The 16,697-nt window shown below is 50.6% G+C and overlaps 1 annotated feature.

Moving 5' to 3' along the window:
- Positions 14,880 to 15,380: an enhancer, noted in NCBI's record as "H3K4me1 hESC enhancer chr6:33922205-33922705 (GRCh37/hg19 assembly coordinates)". NCBI's record gives its function as "activates a minimal SCP1, AML or CMV promoter by ChIP-STARR-seq in naive H9 embryonic stem cells {active_cell/tissue: H9 hESC(naive)}" and the evidence as "EXISTENCE:reporter gene assay evidence [ECO:0000049][PMID:30033119]".

Raw genomic sequence — 16,697 nt, forward strand, 5'->3', positions numbered from 1 at the left:
GTAACAAATAGCTCCTGAGGATCTACTGTGTGCCATGAATGGTGTCACTTGGGGCTGAGAACTGTGAGCAAAGTAGACATGACCCCTACGATCATCAAGTTCACCATCCAACAAAAGAGAAAGACAAGTCAACAGACGACTACAATATAGTGAGACAAGTGCTATGGCATTGCGTAGGAGGGCACCCATCCCAGGCTTGGATGCTCAAGGAAACTTCCCAGAGGAAGTGACATCTAAGCCAAGGCCTGCAGGGGAGCAGAGCCTTCCAGGAAGAGGGAACAGAATGTGAAAAGGCTCACAGTTGAAAGAAAATGGTGTATGGAATTCACACACTAGTTTTGTCTGTTCAACATCTTTTCATTAGGGGAAACCACAGTTTCCCTGGCCCTGTGTTGGTTCCGTGAGGTGGTGAATCACTGGGCCTATGTCCCTCATGGTAGGGTCAGGTCCATGACCCAGTCTAGCCCAATCAGAACCTCCCTCCAGAACCTGAATCTCTGAGGCAGACACACAGGGTGGAAGGTGGTAAGCACGGAGGCATCTCGTGGCTGTACCCTAGAGAGATTGCCAATGTTACTCAAGACTCCAGAGCTGCCCTGGTTCCTGTTGATCCTGAGACCCGTTGTCTAGCTTCTCCTTCTATTCTGTGACCTCCTTCAGTAACTCCTCAATAAGTCCCCTGTTCTTGTTTCACTTTTTCAGAGTCAACTTTCGGTGCTTGCAGCCGAATAACCGTGGGATTCATGCAAAACCCTTAGGGATATGTGAGCTACTCGGAATTGGTTTTCATAACTCCATGGGGGAAAATCAGTCGGACTCTGGTTCATATTAGTGGATAGGAAAGTGGTTGCCAATGGTACACAGTGGTGAACAACTAATCATGTTATACCCTCCGGTCACCTGGGACCATGTGCCAACCTAAAGTGAAAGACTATAGCAGCTGCCATGGACCAATTTATAAAGGATGATGAGTGCTGGGACCATAGGCTGGATGGTTGTCCCTAAGACTAGATAATTTAAAGCAAGAAAATGACAGGCTCAAGTCAAAATGTTTACCTCGAGGCACAGAATAGAATTCAGAGCCTTATATGACCATGCTGAAATAATCTTTTATTGCATGTAGCCATGGAGCTGAAATTGCTGAAGAATGAACTTAGACATTGATTCCGAAGCTACTGTGAACTACGGTGTCAGTGAATTCACAGCCTCACCAGGTGACTTCTGCGAAGTGGAGGGAATTGGCCAGGAAATATCAATATCCTATTGGAACAGTGATATCTGGGAGGATTATAGGGACTCAGGAGACCCTAAGCATCCAAGTACCTCAGTGCACCACCCTCGGGCTCCCTCATGACTCACTCTTCACTGTTTCTCCCAGAATATTCAGGACCCAGACTAAACATGATCCAGATGATAAAATTCAGAATCAGGATGGGAAATAGTTATACCCAGAAAGGATTGCAGAAATTCAGTAATTTATATTCCTAAGTTATGAGGAATATGTGTAGAAATGGATTTTGAGGGGGCATTTATCAAGGCGGGAGGGATATAAGCACAGGTTTGGCTGCATGTATTGGTATGGGTGCAGTCACCAGAAATTTTGCATTCAGGGTGTTCTCTCAGGCAGTTGGCAGAAGTTCTGACATTTTGCAGAAGTCACTAATGCAAACCTGGACCACATGATGGTCCACACTAATTGGCAAAAAGGGCCCAGAAAATGCTTGGCATGATTAGAGGAACAGAAGTCAAATAGCTAGAGAGAGGAATGCTGACTCGATCTCTCAATTCACATCCATTCCAGGAGCCTCTCCCTTCCTCCTTCCCTTGAGAATGCTCTCAGTGAAAAAGGGTAATAATATTGTCTTTTCATTATCAAAAAATTAATAGCATATTTCAGATTTACAAAAGATATAAAGAATAATGTAACAAACATCTACGAACCTCTTATCCAACTTAAGGTATGAAATGTGTTAGTTTGGGTCCTCCAGGATGCAGACACCAAGAAGGGATTAGAAAATTCCTGCAAAGGAAAATGGGGAGAAAGGCGGAGGCAGTAGGCAGAGCCCTCATGGCACCACAGGTCTGACCACTGGGAAGGACCAAAGGAAGGAAGGAAGGCTGGGTCAGGAGAGTTTCAGGTGGTTGGGCAGCTCTGAGAAAGTTTCCGCAAGGCTGATGGGAAGTCCTTGAGCCACAGTCACCTGTAAGAGGAGCCCCGCATCTCACAGGATTGGGCCTGCCTGGCATCCCTGTAGGGCACAGGTAGGCCTGGGCAGGTGGTGTTGGTACAAACACAGTGGAGGAGTCAGAGTGCAGCCGCTGGGGCCAGCAGTCAATTACATGCACCGCAAAAGGTGATGTGAGAGGCACATTGTCATGGCCATGCATAACCATTTATTGGTGGTCAGTGCCAATAAAACTCCATATCAACCCTTCCCAAATCTGTAAAATGGGCTCAGTTACCCACTCTCAATAGTTAGAAATTATAGCAGAAGTGCTGCTGTTACAATGGGATTTCTAATCTTAGAGTGGGTGGGAGGAGCTTTAGTGGCCTAGCCCAGGTTAAGTAACTATGTGAAAATAGTGGTCATGGCCATCCCCTAAAAAGGAGGCAGGGAATGGGTTCTAAGGGAATCACTCCGAAAGCAGTGATCCCTGGGTATGGGTAATTGATCAAGACATCCCTTGATCAGTGAAGGGATGAAATGAGCAAGTAGCCCATTGAGGTCTTGATTCTATAACCAAAATCTTCCAGGTTTGGTGAATGAAGGGCTTGCTTGAGTACCTGTAACTGAGATGGAATTCCCAGTCCAGGGTTGGTTCAGACCCAGAGCTTCTCAAATGCAGGGGCAGACAGGGCCTTTGAGCTAGAACCTGTTATAGCAGCACACACGGGACATGATAAATCTTCCGTGAGCTTCCTCCAAACACAGCTGCTGCCCTTTACCTGGGTTACTAAGTTGACATGGTTTGGATATTTGTCCTCTCCAAATCTCATGTTGAAATTTCATCCCCAATGTTGGAGGTAGGATCTCGGGAGAGGTGTTTGGGTCATGGAAGTGGACCCCTCATGAAGGTCTTGGTGCCGTCTTCATGGTGAGTGCTTTCTTACTCTATTAGTTCCCAAGAGAACTGATCGTTAAAAGAGCCTGGCACCTCTCTTCCCTCTCTCTGGCTTCCTGACCTGTGATCTCTGCAGCTGGCTCCCCTTTGCCTTCTGTCATACGCAGAAGCTTCCTGAAGCCCTAACCAGGAGCAGATGCTGGCGTCATGCTTCTTCTACAGCCTGTAGAATCATGAGACAAATAAACCTCTTTTCTTTATAAATTACCCAGCCTCGGGTATTCCTTTATAGCAACACAAATGAACTAAGACATGATCACAGGAGGAATGGGTGATTAGGGGATTATCTGAGCTAGCTCTAACTCCTGGGAACAGGAATGCCACTGTGGTCTCTAGGGCAGACTGGCACTTTGGGAGCTCAGGGATAACTGTTCCCACCTGAATCTTCCCTACAGTAGGTCAGTGGGACTTCAACCCCCTCCAGCAATGACTTCTCAAGTTCCTGAAAGGAAATAGAGGTCTTTATAGGAGAGAAAACCCACATCAGCTTCTTGATCAGAAGACTAAGGCCTTAGTGATAGGAAGGGCCAGGAGGAAGTCGCTTGAGCTCCTTCTACCCATGAATACAGTAAACCAAAAGCAACACTGCAACCCCAGGGGACTGCGAGGCTGAGTGTCACCACCCAACACCAGAAAGATGTAGTTGGGACAATACTGACGATATCTCCTTTCTATCCCAGATTGGCTAGTGTCAAAAATAGCCAGGTTTTAGCAAACAGCAGTGGCATGTTGTACACTTAATTGGGTGGCCACTCCATTTGCAGTTGCTGTTCCAGATGTGGGCTCCTTGGTAGAGCAAATTAATTCAGCCCTGTGCTTGGCATTCAGTTGCTGATCTGGAAAATGGAATGTACTCCACCTGACAAACAGAAAACACTTGAAGCAGTTTGCTTGCCCCTGGCAGAGAGAGGAACAGAATGGTACAGCTCTGCCTCAGGAAATTCTGGCTTTCTGGTTCTTCCCACAGCCTGGACCAGCTCCTCATCCCAACGGGCATCATCCTGCCAATGGGCCCGTACTTTGTATTGATCGCACAACACTAATAGTGTCCAACTGGAAGGAAGTCACAGGTGTCCTCGATGTCTTGTTAAGATGCACATGTGACAGAGACTGGGCTGTGACTCAGGCCCTGGCACCTCAGAGAGGATCCTGCAGGTGCAGTGGTCTGAGACATGTTGGAAAGTTCTCTTCAAATGAAGAACTTAAAAGGAGGCACAATGCTCCATGACTTCTTTGGATTTTGAAGGCAGCCTTAAGATCAATTCTTTTTACCAACTTAAAAGGGGTTTCTAAACAACCTGAAAACATCCAGCTTTGAGTGGGGCCCCAAGCAAAGCCAGGCTCTACAGGGGGTCTCAGCTGTGGCCCAGGACCCTTTGTCCTCAGCCTTTCCTAGTGGTGGTGTTTAATGTCCAGGGTGGGGCACAATGCTGTTTGGAGTTCACCAGAGACAAGCCCCCAGTCGCAAATTCCCAGTGGAGTCTCTGGAGCTTCTGAATGAGTAACTCTTCTTTGAGGAAACGGGTCTCACCATGGGCTGTAGGGAGACTGAATGCCTGACCCTGAGTCACGAAGCAGCCGACAGTCTGAGATGTCCATCATGAATCAGATGCCATCATCGATCCGAAGCCCTGCATGGGAAGTGCCCAGCAGCCCTCTGCCATCAGTAACCTTGCCTGTTGCCCTGTGTCGGGGCCCCTTCTTTCTGATCCACATGGGTGTTACCCTCAATACTGGAGCAGAGACCGGCATTGTCAGGAAGGAATATTTCAATTGCAAGTAACAGAAAATACTGCCTTAAACAGTAGACAGGATGTATTGGCTGGCATGTTTTTGTTGTTGTTGTTGTTGTTTTTAATGCAAAGTTAAACTGCTTCAGGTGAGGCTGGCTCCAGCAACCCAGTGGTGTCACTGGAGACCCTACTCCCATCTATCTTCTCTGTCTTCCATGGCGTCAGCATTATCCTAACACTGCCCGCTCCGCCCGCTGATGGCTGTCAGCATTCGTGGAGCTACAGGCATATGCTCCCTCCTTCCAGTCCAGCGGCAGCGAGCACAGCTCTGCCGGTAAAGCTCCGAAAAACAAAGGGGCTCCTTTCCCCCGGAGTCCCCCAACACCAATTTCCTTGTGTCTCATTGGCTTGAATGGGTCCTGTCCCCAATTTGGACCAAATCCTGTGACTGAGGAGCTTCCTTGATTGGCTGCAAATACCCAGGCCCCGCTCCTGGGCTGAGGAGAGCCAATCCTATCCAAACAGTGTGACCAAGAATGGGGGAGGAGCTTCACTGCCGTAAAGTGGGGGCCGGGACGCTGGGCCTCCAGAACCGCAGGCTTCACACAGGGGGAAGGGGCGCTGAGGGGAATCAGATTTGCCCCTCCCCACAAACTTACAGAATAATAGTCCCATATCTCAGCTTGAATCTTATAAACGCTCAGAGTCCAACCACATTCACGGGATTGTTCCCTCTTTAGGGCCTCTGTGAGGGATGAGGAGGGGAAGGGAGCCGTGGCCCGCCCGTGCAGGGCAGTGGGGAAACCCAAGTGCTTCACCCCCAGCTCTGTTTCTCCTGGATTCCCAGAGCAGATACCCTTCCCAACCGTAGGGATCGGCTTGCCCACACCCCCGGTCTGGTGGGCACCAGGGTGGACAGATGTCTATTCCTCCTAACAGGGCTGGGAAGGAGTCCTCCGGTCCTGGGAAAACACAGACCCTTCCTCAGGCTCCCCGGTTGACGACTTTTCACCCTATTGGCTTTCGAAAAGTTACACCACTTTTCTGACAATTCCCCCTCCCACCTTCTTTTTCATTATAAAAACATTTTCACCCCAAAACCCACGAATTAAATAAATTTATCTCTTGGTATCCACAAGGGATTGGTTCCAGGACCCCTGAGGATTCCAGACTCCAAGGATACCCAAGTCTCTGATATAAAATGGCATATGGCAGGGCGAGGTGACTCATGCCTGTAATCCCAGCACTTTTGGAGGCCAAGGCGGGTGGATCACCTGAGGTCAGGAGTTCAAGACCAGCCTGGGCAACATGGCGAAACCCCATCTCTACTGAAAATACAAAAATTAGCCGGGTGTGGTGGTGGGCGCCTGTAATCCCAGCTACTTGGGAGGCTGAGGCACAAGAATCCCTTGAATCTGGGAGGCAGAGGTTGCAGTGAGCCAAGATGCCACCATTGCACTCCAACCTGGGCAATAGAGCAAGACTCAGTCTCAAAAAAATAAAAAATAAAAATAAAATGGCATAGTATTCGCACATAACCTATGCACATCCTCCCGTATGCTTTAATTCGTCCCTAGATTACTTATAATACCTAATACAATTGTTGTTATATGTGTTACGTAGGAAATAATGGCAGGGGAAAAAAGACTGCACATGGTCAGTACAGACACAAGCATCCAAGCCTCACTGCACCTTCAATGGGCAATTGGCAAACCGCAGATGGATGCAGGGCCTGCGGGTGAGGAATCTGCAGGTGCATATTTCAATTGCAAGTAACAGAAAATACTGCCTTAAACAGTAGAGAGGATTTATTGGCTCACATGATTTTTAAAAATACAAAGTTAAACTGCTCCCAGTGAGGCTGGTTTCACCTGGAGGCTGGCATGACACTTCCAGAGAAAAGTCCTAATTGCCACTTGTTTAGTGCGCTCTACGGTGTCTCGGCAGAGGTTAACACACGGAATACATCTGAATTGCGTTCCAAGTTTGGACAGGCCAAACTGCCTTGCTTTATCAGGCACCGAGCCGGAGATGCGAGCAGTGACTTCCAGGGCTCCTCAGGCTGCTGCCTGCACGGCCATTTCCACCTGTTTGGTGGAAGTGCTCTCTGTTAAGCCTTGGTTTTGCCCTGGAGTTACGCTTCTCTGTTCTCTGTTTTTCAATGCAAGATAACCATGACCCCCAACAGCTCCTGCCTGAAAGCAGATCCTCAGAGACACTGAACCCTTTCCCCTCCTATCTTGACATCAGGCACCACCCACTCCTTTCCCAAGAAAGAGAAACCCTCATCACATTACATTTTAGTTACAAACTGTGGTGCTTAATCTCATATTGCTACTTATTACTTATATAAACTTGTTTTCCATGTTCAGTTGCTGTTTTTCTATCTGTGAGAAATTAGATGCCTTGACATTAGTTAGCAACCACAGTAATTTTTTCTCTAAAATTAATGAAAATATGTCTTCATTTAATGGCTTTTCATTTAGGGGCAGGGTTTTTAGAAATCAGTAGAAGTCCTTGAATGAGGGATGAGTATCCTCATCCTGGACTTCCTGAGCTTTACCTCTGCCTGCACCTGAAGCTTGTGACCAAGGGCTTTGAGTTTGCTGAGGCCTCTTGGGAAGGCCAGAGCCGTTCCCAGTGGGGCCCAACAAGGCAGGGTGAGGCAAGCTCTCTGGACCCATCTACTCTCAGGAGGTCCCCAAGATGACAGCTGGATTGGCATCACTCTCTGCAGGAGACAGGACTCACGGCCTCTCTTGCTCAGAGGCAGCCATGCACCAGGCTTTTCCCATGTTCCCAGCCTCCCCTGTTGGGGCGTTCTGCACAGTTCCTCCAGATCACAGCACCCTGCCTGCCTCAGGATGACAGAGTCCATCCCAAACCAGCATGCTTTTAGGATGAGGCCCTGGCAGCTGGGCTGTGAGTGGACGGAGAGAGGGCAGGCCTGCAGGTTGGGAGAGACTGTGAGGGCGCTCACACTGAATTACAGCAGCCCAAGGTGGCAGGAAGTGAAGGACACAGAACTGTAAGGGGTGTCCCTGAGGGGACTGGGCTGGGAGGAGAGGGCAGTGGGCTACAGGGGTGGGGCAGATGAGTTTGGTTTTGGATGTGGCACGTGGGCTGTGTGTGGGCTCTCCCAGCAGACATGTCCAGCGGGTAGCTGAGCATAGCACATAGCTGCAGGGTCCAGAGGGAGGTCTGGGCAGAGACAGAGGAGGCCGGGAGCTGGGGGGAAGCCAGCAAGGGTAATGGAGCCGACAGCGCAGGGCTCACTGGAGAGGGCAGGCCTATTCTCTGCATTTTCATGCACTCCTTTCACTAGCTTCTTCCTTTGGGGTTTCAATGTGTCTCCATCTCAGAGTTTCTTTTACTTAAATCCAAATATCCGCAGAGGGGTGACATTCTAAGCTTTCGTATTAATCAAATTTTACAGAACTATACTCAAATTAAACAAAGAAAAATAAAACGATGGGGGTGGATGTATTGGCCCAGGTCAATACAAAGTTTGGAGCTCCAGATACGGCTGGGTCCCGCTGCTCAAGCCTTGTCAACAGGACTGTTCCGACTCCTCTGTGAGCTGGCTTCACATATGGGGGCAGGGATGGCCCCTGGCAACCCCAGGTGTTCACTCTACTAGCTAGAAAACTCTCACAGAAAGAGGGCACCTCTCCAAAACCCTGACATTAATGAATTTGTGAGGCTGGGGCCAGGAGTCCACCTGGAGCCAGGAGTGAGATCAGCCCTGCTCAATCCACGTGGTCTCAGAAGAGTAGGGAGATCCCCCAGTCAAAAGCCGGGAACTGTGACCTGAGGTGAGGTCTGGGATGGAGGCCATCGTGGGGCCACTAAGAAAAAAAGGGCCTAGCTTGCTGAGGGCTGCACAGGGCAGAGCTGTGGTGCCATCCCTGGGAGACTTTACCTGGACTTTTACATGAGAGAGAAATCCAGTTTCATCTTGTTTAACTCATTCAGAGTTCACACCTGTTGCTCCCAGTCCAGCCTAATCCTATTGAACTCAAGCTCTGTGGGGGCACAATAAGAAGGGTCTGGGGGCAATGGGGCACTGGGGCTTTTCTGAGAAGGGGGTATTGGAGCTCCAAAGCCTGAGGCCAGCCCTAAGGGACACAGCTTCCCCCACCTTCTTACCTCCCCCTCACACCTGCACACAGACCACTCCATCAGGATCCTGTATCTGGAGGGGACCCCAGAGAGCATCACTCGCTCCCTTGGCAAACAGGTACTGTGCACCTGCTCCACACAGGCCTTGCGGACATGAGGCTAATGAGACATGGCCCCTCAGAAGTTCCATGTAGAGGGGACGATGAGAGGCAGGGAGAGCTGCAGTGTGCAGGGTGTGAAGGAAAGTCAGAGAACTGGGTCCTGGAGGCCAAGCGGGATTTGCCAGATAGGAGAGAGTGTTCTAGACGGGGGAAAGGCAAAGATGAGTATGGGAGAGCGGCACGTTCAGGGAACAGCAAGGAATTCCCCGTGACTGGAGTGTGGGGGGCCTGGTGCAGGAAGACGGGGAGCAGGGCCAGGCCCCCAGGGTCTTGCATGCCTACAGATGATGCTCAGCTTCCAATGGAGGCCACTGGGGGATTCTGCAGGTGGGAGGCTATGAGGTCAGATTTAGGATCCCAGCTTGACAGACAAGGAAACAGGAGTTTAAAGTCAGGAAGCCTGGGGCCTGGCCCCTCATTTGTCAGAGGTTCTCAGTACACCAGCCGGCTGGCCCCACGCTGCTCTCTGGGTGGGTGCCTCTCAGAGAGATGCCCCTCAACCTCTCCTCTGTTCTTCCTCCCAGGTGCCTGCCTCAGCCTCTACGCAGATGTGCAGTAATGTTCCCACTTTGCTGGAGCTACAGGAGGTCACCAGAGGAGCTAGAGCCGAGAAAGGGAGACGGTGGCCTCCTGGGGGCAGTCCCATTTTGGGGAAAGGCCTCACCCAGGGGTCAGTGTTGGTTCCCAACCTGCTTGGGTGCCAGGGTAACATGGGTGAGCTGTGGAACCTGCTCTGTCAGCTCCTCTGTGGTGTTAGACCCCAGGACTTTGGCTTGGGACTTGGGAATAAATAAAGCTCAGTCCCTGCCCCCAGGGAGCTTACCACCAGGAGGACAAGTCAGGTCTGCAGACAATTATGATGCAGAAGGAGCTTGGTGGCCATAGCCATTTCTTGGTACAAATATATAGTCACATTGATGAGTAAACCCTCCTGTCGGAATCTGAAAGCCCTCATCTGCTCATGGAGTCCCTCAGCTTCTCACAATCCCTTCACCATCTGGCCCTTGCCTCTCATCAGGTCCAAACCCAATCTAACAGCTGAACAGGAAACAGACCCCATCCTGTATCCACTACTGTCCCACCCACTGTCTTCACTGACCCCTCCCCACAAAGAAAAACCAAATAGGGCCTTGCAGGATGAATGGGAAACATTTGGGTGGGCAGGAGGCAGCACGGGAGCAGCCAGGGGTGGGGTGGCAAAGGCCCGGCTGTGGCTGGAGCTCAGGTGTGTGTTACAGGAGGTGATGGGAACACTGGGAACAGTGGAGAGTTGGTGGAGAGGCGGAGCCCACTCAGCTGTGGCAGGGACTTCAATGTAGTCTGAGATGCTAGTGATGGGGAGCCACTGGCTATTCTTCAGGACAAGGGGCCTGGGCCCTCCTACCAGCACCCAGCAGGCCAGAGCTTCCCGCCGCAGCCCCTCGAACCCGAGGCCATACCTGCAGCTCCAACCCTGCCTGTTGCAAGCTCTCCTGGCTGCCCTGTCTCCAAGCCCAGCAACAGCTCCTCCAGTAACTGCCAGAGTGTGGGTGTGTCAGAGCCTTCTGGGGGTGGTTCTTCACCTACAGACAGAGTCAGGGAGCTTCAGGTGCCTTCGCAGATGGAGTGGGCACTATGCAATATGTTAGGACTCTTCTCGAGGGTGTAGGTTTGCACGGACAACAGAACCTCCCCTCACTCCCTTCCCTGCATCCCAAAAAGAGAGTCCTTGTCCCTCTGGCCCCCACAGCACCCTGTAGAGGCCTCTGTCATTGTCCTCTAGGGTCTGGGTCCCCTGATAAACTGCAGTTTCCTCAGCACCAGGCACATAGTAGGTGCTCAAGAAACGCCTATTAAGTGAGTGAGTGAGTGTGGTCAGGACGGCACAGGAGGTGAGTCTGTGGGTCTGTATGCCTGTGTGTGAGTGTGTGTGTGTGTGTGTGTGTGTGTGTGTGTGCAATGCCTGTCATAGCCTGGCCTGCATCTTACCTCACCCAGGGAAGTTCCTGGCAGGGCCAGGAGGAGGGGCTGGGTTTTCTTTCCTGCTCATTTGCATGACAGGTGTTGGCAGTTTATCTAACTGTGATAATGAAGAGGATGGGGGGTGCTAATTCCTTCTTGCTTTATTGAATCCACCAATTCTTCACAGCCTCAGGGCCCTGAGAGGGGGTGATTAAAAGACACTTCAGCATGCTGGTTATTGCCAATTAACAGACTCCAATATAAACAATTAATAAAGCCACAGTGGGAGGTGAGAGGGAGGGATTCAACCCCCTTGCCTCCACGAGTTCAAGCAGTTCCAGGGCCCCTGGGCCCAGCCACACCCAGATGGCCCTGCCCTGGAGGCTGGTGGTTAGGGCTGATGAATGCCTGAGAGGTGATATGAAGATGCCAGGGAGGAGAGTGCTGGTGAGGGCCACTTGGCCTCAGACTGGGGGAGGTGGGGGCTGCAAGCCCACCCCTGCCGAGTCGCCAATGAGGACACACCCAGGGGAGGGCAGGAACTTGCCCAAGGCCCCTGGGCCGACCAAGACAGTGCTCTTTGGACCATGTGTTCCATGCCCCTTGGGCCGGGCAGTGGCCCACCCTGATGGGTCTCCTCACCCGTCTAAGGTAAGGAGCTATCTCCAGTCACTGGCCTCTTAGGATGAGCCATGTGACTCCATTTCCCTTGCCAGGTTGCCCTCCTCACCTGCCGTGGTCCCTGTAACTTGACTTCTCATGCAGGAGAGGGGCCCACCTGCCTGGGGGCAGCATTGCCTGTTAAGGGCAAGTCTCAGGGGTTGCAGCATGAGCTACCGAAAGGCACCGCTCTGAGCCACTGGGGCCACTCATGGCACAAGCCAATCTCATGAAATCCTCAAACCCTCAGACCGACCTCAGCGGGAAGCAGGATTACAGGTGGGAAAACACTCATGCCTCAAGGGTCTAAGGAACTCACTTCCACAACCCAAGTCACTCTTAGGAGCAGGTGGTGCAGGTGCCACGGGCCGCACGTGCTCTGGGCCAGGCGCCCCCAAGCTTGTGCTACAAAGGGCCGAATAGCACGTGACTGAGCTCTGCCAACCACACCGCCTGCATCACAGCCGCCTAATCTGCGCATGCAGGGCGAATGCAGCCAGAGACAATACGTAACAAATGTGCGGCTGTGTCCCAAGAAAACTTTATTTATGGATGCCGAAATTTGAAATTCATATAATTTCACGTCACAAAATATTATTCTTATCTTGATTCATTTTCACCCATTTAAAGATGTAAACCCATTCTTAGCTCTCAGACCATATAAAAATACGTAGTGGCCCCGATTTGACCCATGGGCCATAGTTTGCCAATCTCTGATCTAGGCCTTAGCACTTTGGGATGTCTTGGGCATTCTAAAGGGAACTTCCTTGGGATATGACTCCTCAGGGGAGGGAGGACTGGGAGCTGAACTCCGTCCAGCTCAAAAAATGGGGGTGCCAGACCCTGTTCCACCAGAGAACCAAATGGCCACAAAGCATGGCCCATAAGGGACAGAGAGCCAGGCTGAGGGGCAGGTGTGGGTGGGTGCGAGCAGAGAGACAGACAAGGGGGGACCACTGGCTGCCCCACGACCCACTTGTGTTGGGGCAGGACAAGGACGACCACCCAAAATGGTGCTGAGCCTCAGCACCTGGACCTGGGACAGTTTCCTGCTCTTATATGGGACCATGGACATGTCTGATATTCTGGAACTTCAAAGCAAATCAAAGAGAAGGGACTCAGAGGGAGCTCAGAAATTGTCTTTCTCTCCTCACCCCTATTCACCTCTTTCATTCAATCAACAAACATTTTTTGAGAATCTGCTAAAGGCGGCTTATTTTTCAGTTTGAGACAAAGCCTCCTGGTCTTGCAGCTGCCTTTGGAAATGCTCCTGGAGGAAAAAGGTTGTGTTTGGGGTTGCCAAGGACATTCTCGAGTCACCCAGGAAGTGAGAGTAACTAGAGGACATCCCAGGTCCACAGAGCAGATAAGTAAATTTCTTGAGGGAATTCCTGTGTTTTTGCAAAGAAAGTCATGTAGCGAAGCCAATACTGTGTTCGAGGCAGCAGGAAGGTTTCCTGGAAGCCTTGGTGTAAAAGACAATAATGACAGATGTGAAAGAGTGCAGTGGCTTTGAAAAGTCAGGAAGTGAGCTTGCCATCTGGTCCCTGTTGGGTGCTCCATAGCTGTCCCTCCTCCTGCCTCAGCTTCCACAGGGCACCTCTCAGGCTGGGGGCAGGTAGCGGAACCAGAGCTCCATTGTCACAGCAGGGACCAGCTGCCCAGAGCCAGCCGCTGGTCCAGGGTTGGAGCAGGACACGTGCCTCTCCTTTCCTCATCCTGCACCTTCGACCCATCAGAAATCCTGCTGGCTCTATCTTTAAAATGTGTCTCATTGTGGTTTTGATGTGCATTTTCCCCATGATTGGTGATGTTGAGCATGATTTCATATACCCGTTGGTCATTTGGATGTCTTCTTTTAAGAAATGTCTATTCAGGTCTTTTGCCTATCAAAACCACAAAGAGATATTACCTTACTCCTGTGAGAACGGCTATTATCAAAAAGACAAAAGATAACAAGTGTTGGCAAGGATGTGGAGAAAAGGAAACCCTAGCACACTGTTGGTGGAAATGTAAATTAGAACAGCCATTATGGAAAGCAGTATGGAGGTTCCTCAACGTATTAAAAATAGAACTACCATATGATCCAGCAATCTCACTACTGGGAACGTACCCAGAGGAAATAAAATCAGCATGCTGAAAAAATATCTGCACTCAAATATTTATTGCAGCACTATTCACAATAGCCAAGACATGGAATCAAACTAAATGTCCTTCATCAGATGAACTGATACAGAAAATTGGTACATACACACTGTGGAGTACTATTCAGCCATAAAAAAGAAGGAAATCTTGTCATTGTGACAGCATGGATGAACCTGGAGAACACTATGTTAAGTGGAATAAACCAGGCACAGAAAGACACGTGATTCTCATGTGTGGAATCTAAAAAGTCATTCTCATAGACATAGAAAGTGGAGTTTGGTTACCAGAGGCTGGGGTGACCTGGGGGAGAGGGAATGGGAGGAGGCTGATCAAAGGATATATAATTACCGTTAGATAAGAGGGGGGAACGTCCAGAATCGGGCAAACGTACAAAGACAGAAAGTATTCAATGATCAGTGATTGCCTGCGGCCAGAGGATGTGAGGGAGAGGAAAGGTTTCAGGGTTGGGGTGGGGAGTAGAAATTGGGAATGACCGCTGATGGTTGTGGGGTTTCTTTCTGATGAAAATGCCCTAAATTTGATTGTGGTGATGCTTGCACTCTGCAAACATACTAAAAACCATTGGATTATACACTTTAAATGGGTGAATTGTAGGCTATGTGATTTATATCTCAATAAAGCCATTTTTTAAAAAGTTCCTCGAATCTGGCTGGGCACGGTGGCTCACGCCTGTAATCCCAGCACTTTAGGAGGCCAAGGTGGGTGGATCACGAGGTCAGGAGATCAAGACCATCCTGACCAACATGTTGAAACCCCATCTCTACCAAAACACACAAAAAAATTAGCCAGGCGTGGTGGTGCGTGCCTATAGTCCCAGCTACTCAGGAGGCTGAGGCAGGGGAATCACTTGAACCTGGGAGGCGGAGGTTGCAGTGAGCTGAGATCGTGCCACCGCACTCCAGCCTGGGGACAGAGCAAGATTCCATCTCAAAAAAAAAAGTGCCCAAAATCTGACCACTTTGCTGCACTGCTGCCATCCTAGCTGGGGCCTGGAGGACAGCAATCACCCCTCACTGGTCCCCTGCCTCCGCCTTTGCCCCACAGGCTGTCCTCTAGGGAGGGACCCTCTGAGATCATCAATCAGACCACATCCCTGCTCTGGTCTCCATGGTCCCAAGGCTGTCATTCCTAGCCTGAATCCACAATTTTAGCATGGCCAGACATTCTGTAAACTCCCAGCCACCACCCTCTCCCCATTCACACGTGCCTGCCATGCTGGCCTCCTCACCTCCCTCCACTGGTTACTCCTCCCCCAGCGCCATGGCCTCCCTCTCTCACTTCCTGTTCAGGGACTGGCCCCTTCCCTGCCCTCCTCTTCCTTTGTCTTCCCCACATCTACACCCCTTGGAGCAGTGGTAGTACCTGGGGTCTGTGGATCCCCTACAGATCCCTGGATAGAATTCCGGGGGCCTGGGAATGTGGACAGGGAAGAATCACATCATTATTTTCACTCCTCTTTATTTGAACGTAGCACCTGTTTCCATTGCATGCATTAGCAACAAACCACAGAGGTGGTCCCAGAATCTGGGACTTTGTCACCCATAGAAAGTGCAGATCGTTTCAATGATATTATAATTGCAGCAGAAAACTTGAAGTCTCACTCATGCTCAACCCTACTTTGAGATGATGTGGTTTTAGATAGCCCCACTACGCAATTTCATTCTTTTAGTGCATTAATAAAGAAGCACATATATTGCTCCAGTACCATTTTTTCCTAATATTTTGATAGCTGTATTTTAATATAATTGGTTTCCTTTGAATCTTAGCTATTTTATTTTGCGGACTTAAAAATGCTATTCTGAGAAGGGGTCCATAGGCTTCCCCGGACACCAGAGGGGAAGAGCCCATGGCAGAGCAACAGGGAGGGTTCCCTGTCTGCAATTATACTGTGTGCAGAGAGGGCCCAACGCAAAGTTGGAGCTCAATCAATGGCAGTGGAAGGAAGGGAAGGTGAAGGAAGCAGGAGGGACTCAGCACAGAACAGACTCAGCTCATCAGTGAGGGCAGAGCCTGTGTCCATCTGCCCTGAGTTTGAACCTGGCTCCATCACATCTTCAATGTGGAGCTTTGGGTGCCTTCTATAACCTCCCAGAGCCGCAGTTTCCTCATCTGCAAGATGGGACACAATCACATCTGCTTCATATGGTTGTTGTGAATATAAAACAGTATGCTTGGTTCATGGCCTGGGACACAGTGAGTGCGCAATAAACTCTACAGATTTGGTCAGAGTGCTGGGCTTTTGTCCATGGCTCTGGCCCCTCAGCCAGGAAGGCAAAGGCGCCCCCGCACAGCTCTCCCTCTACATATGTCTGCGAATGCTAGGGCAACAGGGCCCCCACTGGCTCTGGGCAGGCCGGCCAGGGCTGGACCACAGGAAGGGGCTGCAAATGGGGAGGGAAGCACTGTCCGTCCAGGCTGGGCTGGGGGACACACCTGCATGGACATTCTTTTCTGGGGGGCAGAGGTGGGATTCTAATCATACTCCTGGGAGGAGATGCTTCCAAGACCTTACCTTGTGAGTCCGGAAGCATTTGTGGGGATGGCAATGCCAGGAAGGCCTCTGGGATGATTCGTTAGGAAGGGACCTGAGGGTCTGGGGCAAACCTGGCTCCACTGGCCAAGTTCTGGCCTGCTGCCTGAGTTTCCCTGTTTCTTCACTGAGACCCCATCCCAGGGGGTAGCTTCCTTGCCCTTCCTGCTTGGGGAGTCCTAGGTTGGCCTCTCCGTTCCCCTGGGCACCTTTTGCCCCAGACCCAGCTTGCCAACCTTTTGCCCATCACAGCTAACTCAG

Source organism: Homo sapiens, chromosome 6 (genome assembly GCF_000001405.40).
Source record: "Homo sapiens chromosome 6, GRCh38.p14 Primary Assembly".
Classification (NCBI taxonomy): Eukaryota; Metazoa; Chordata; class Mammalia; order Primates; family Hominidae; genus Homo; species Homo sapiens.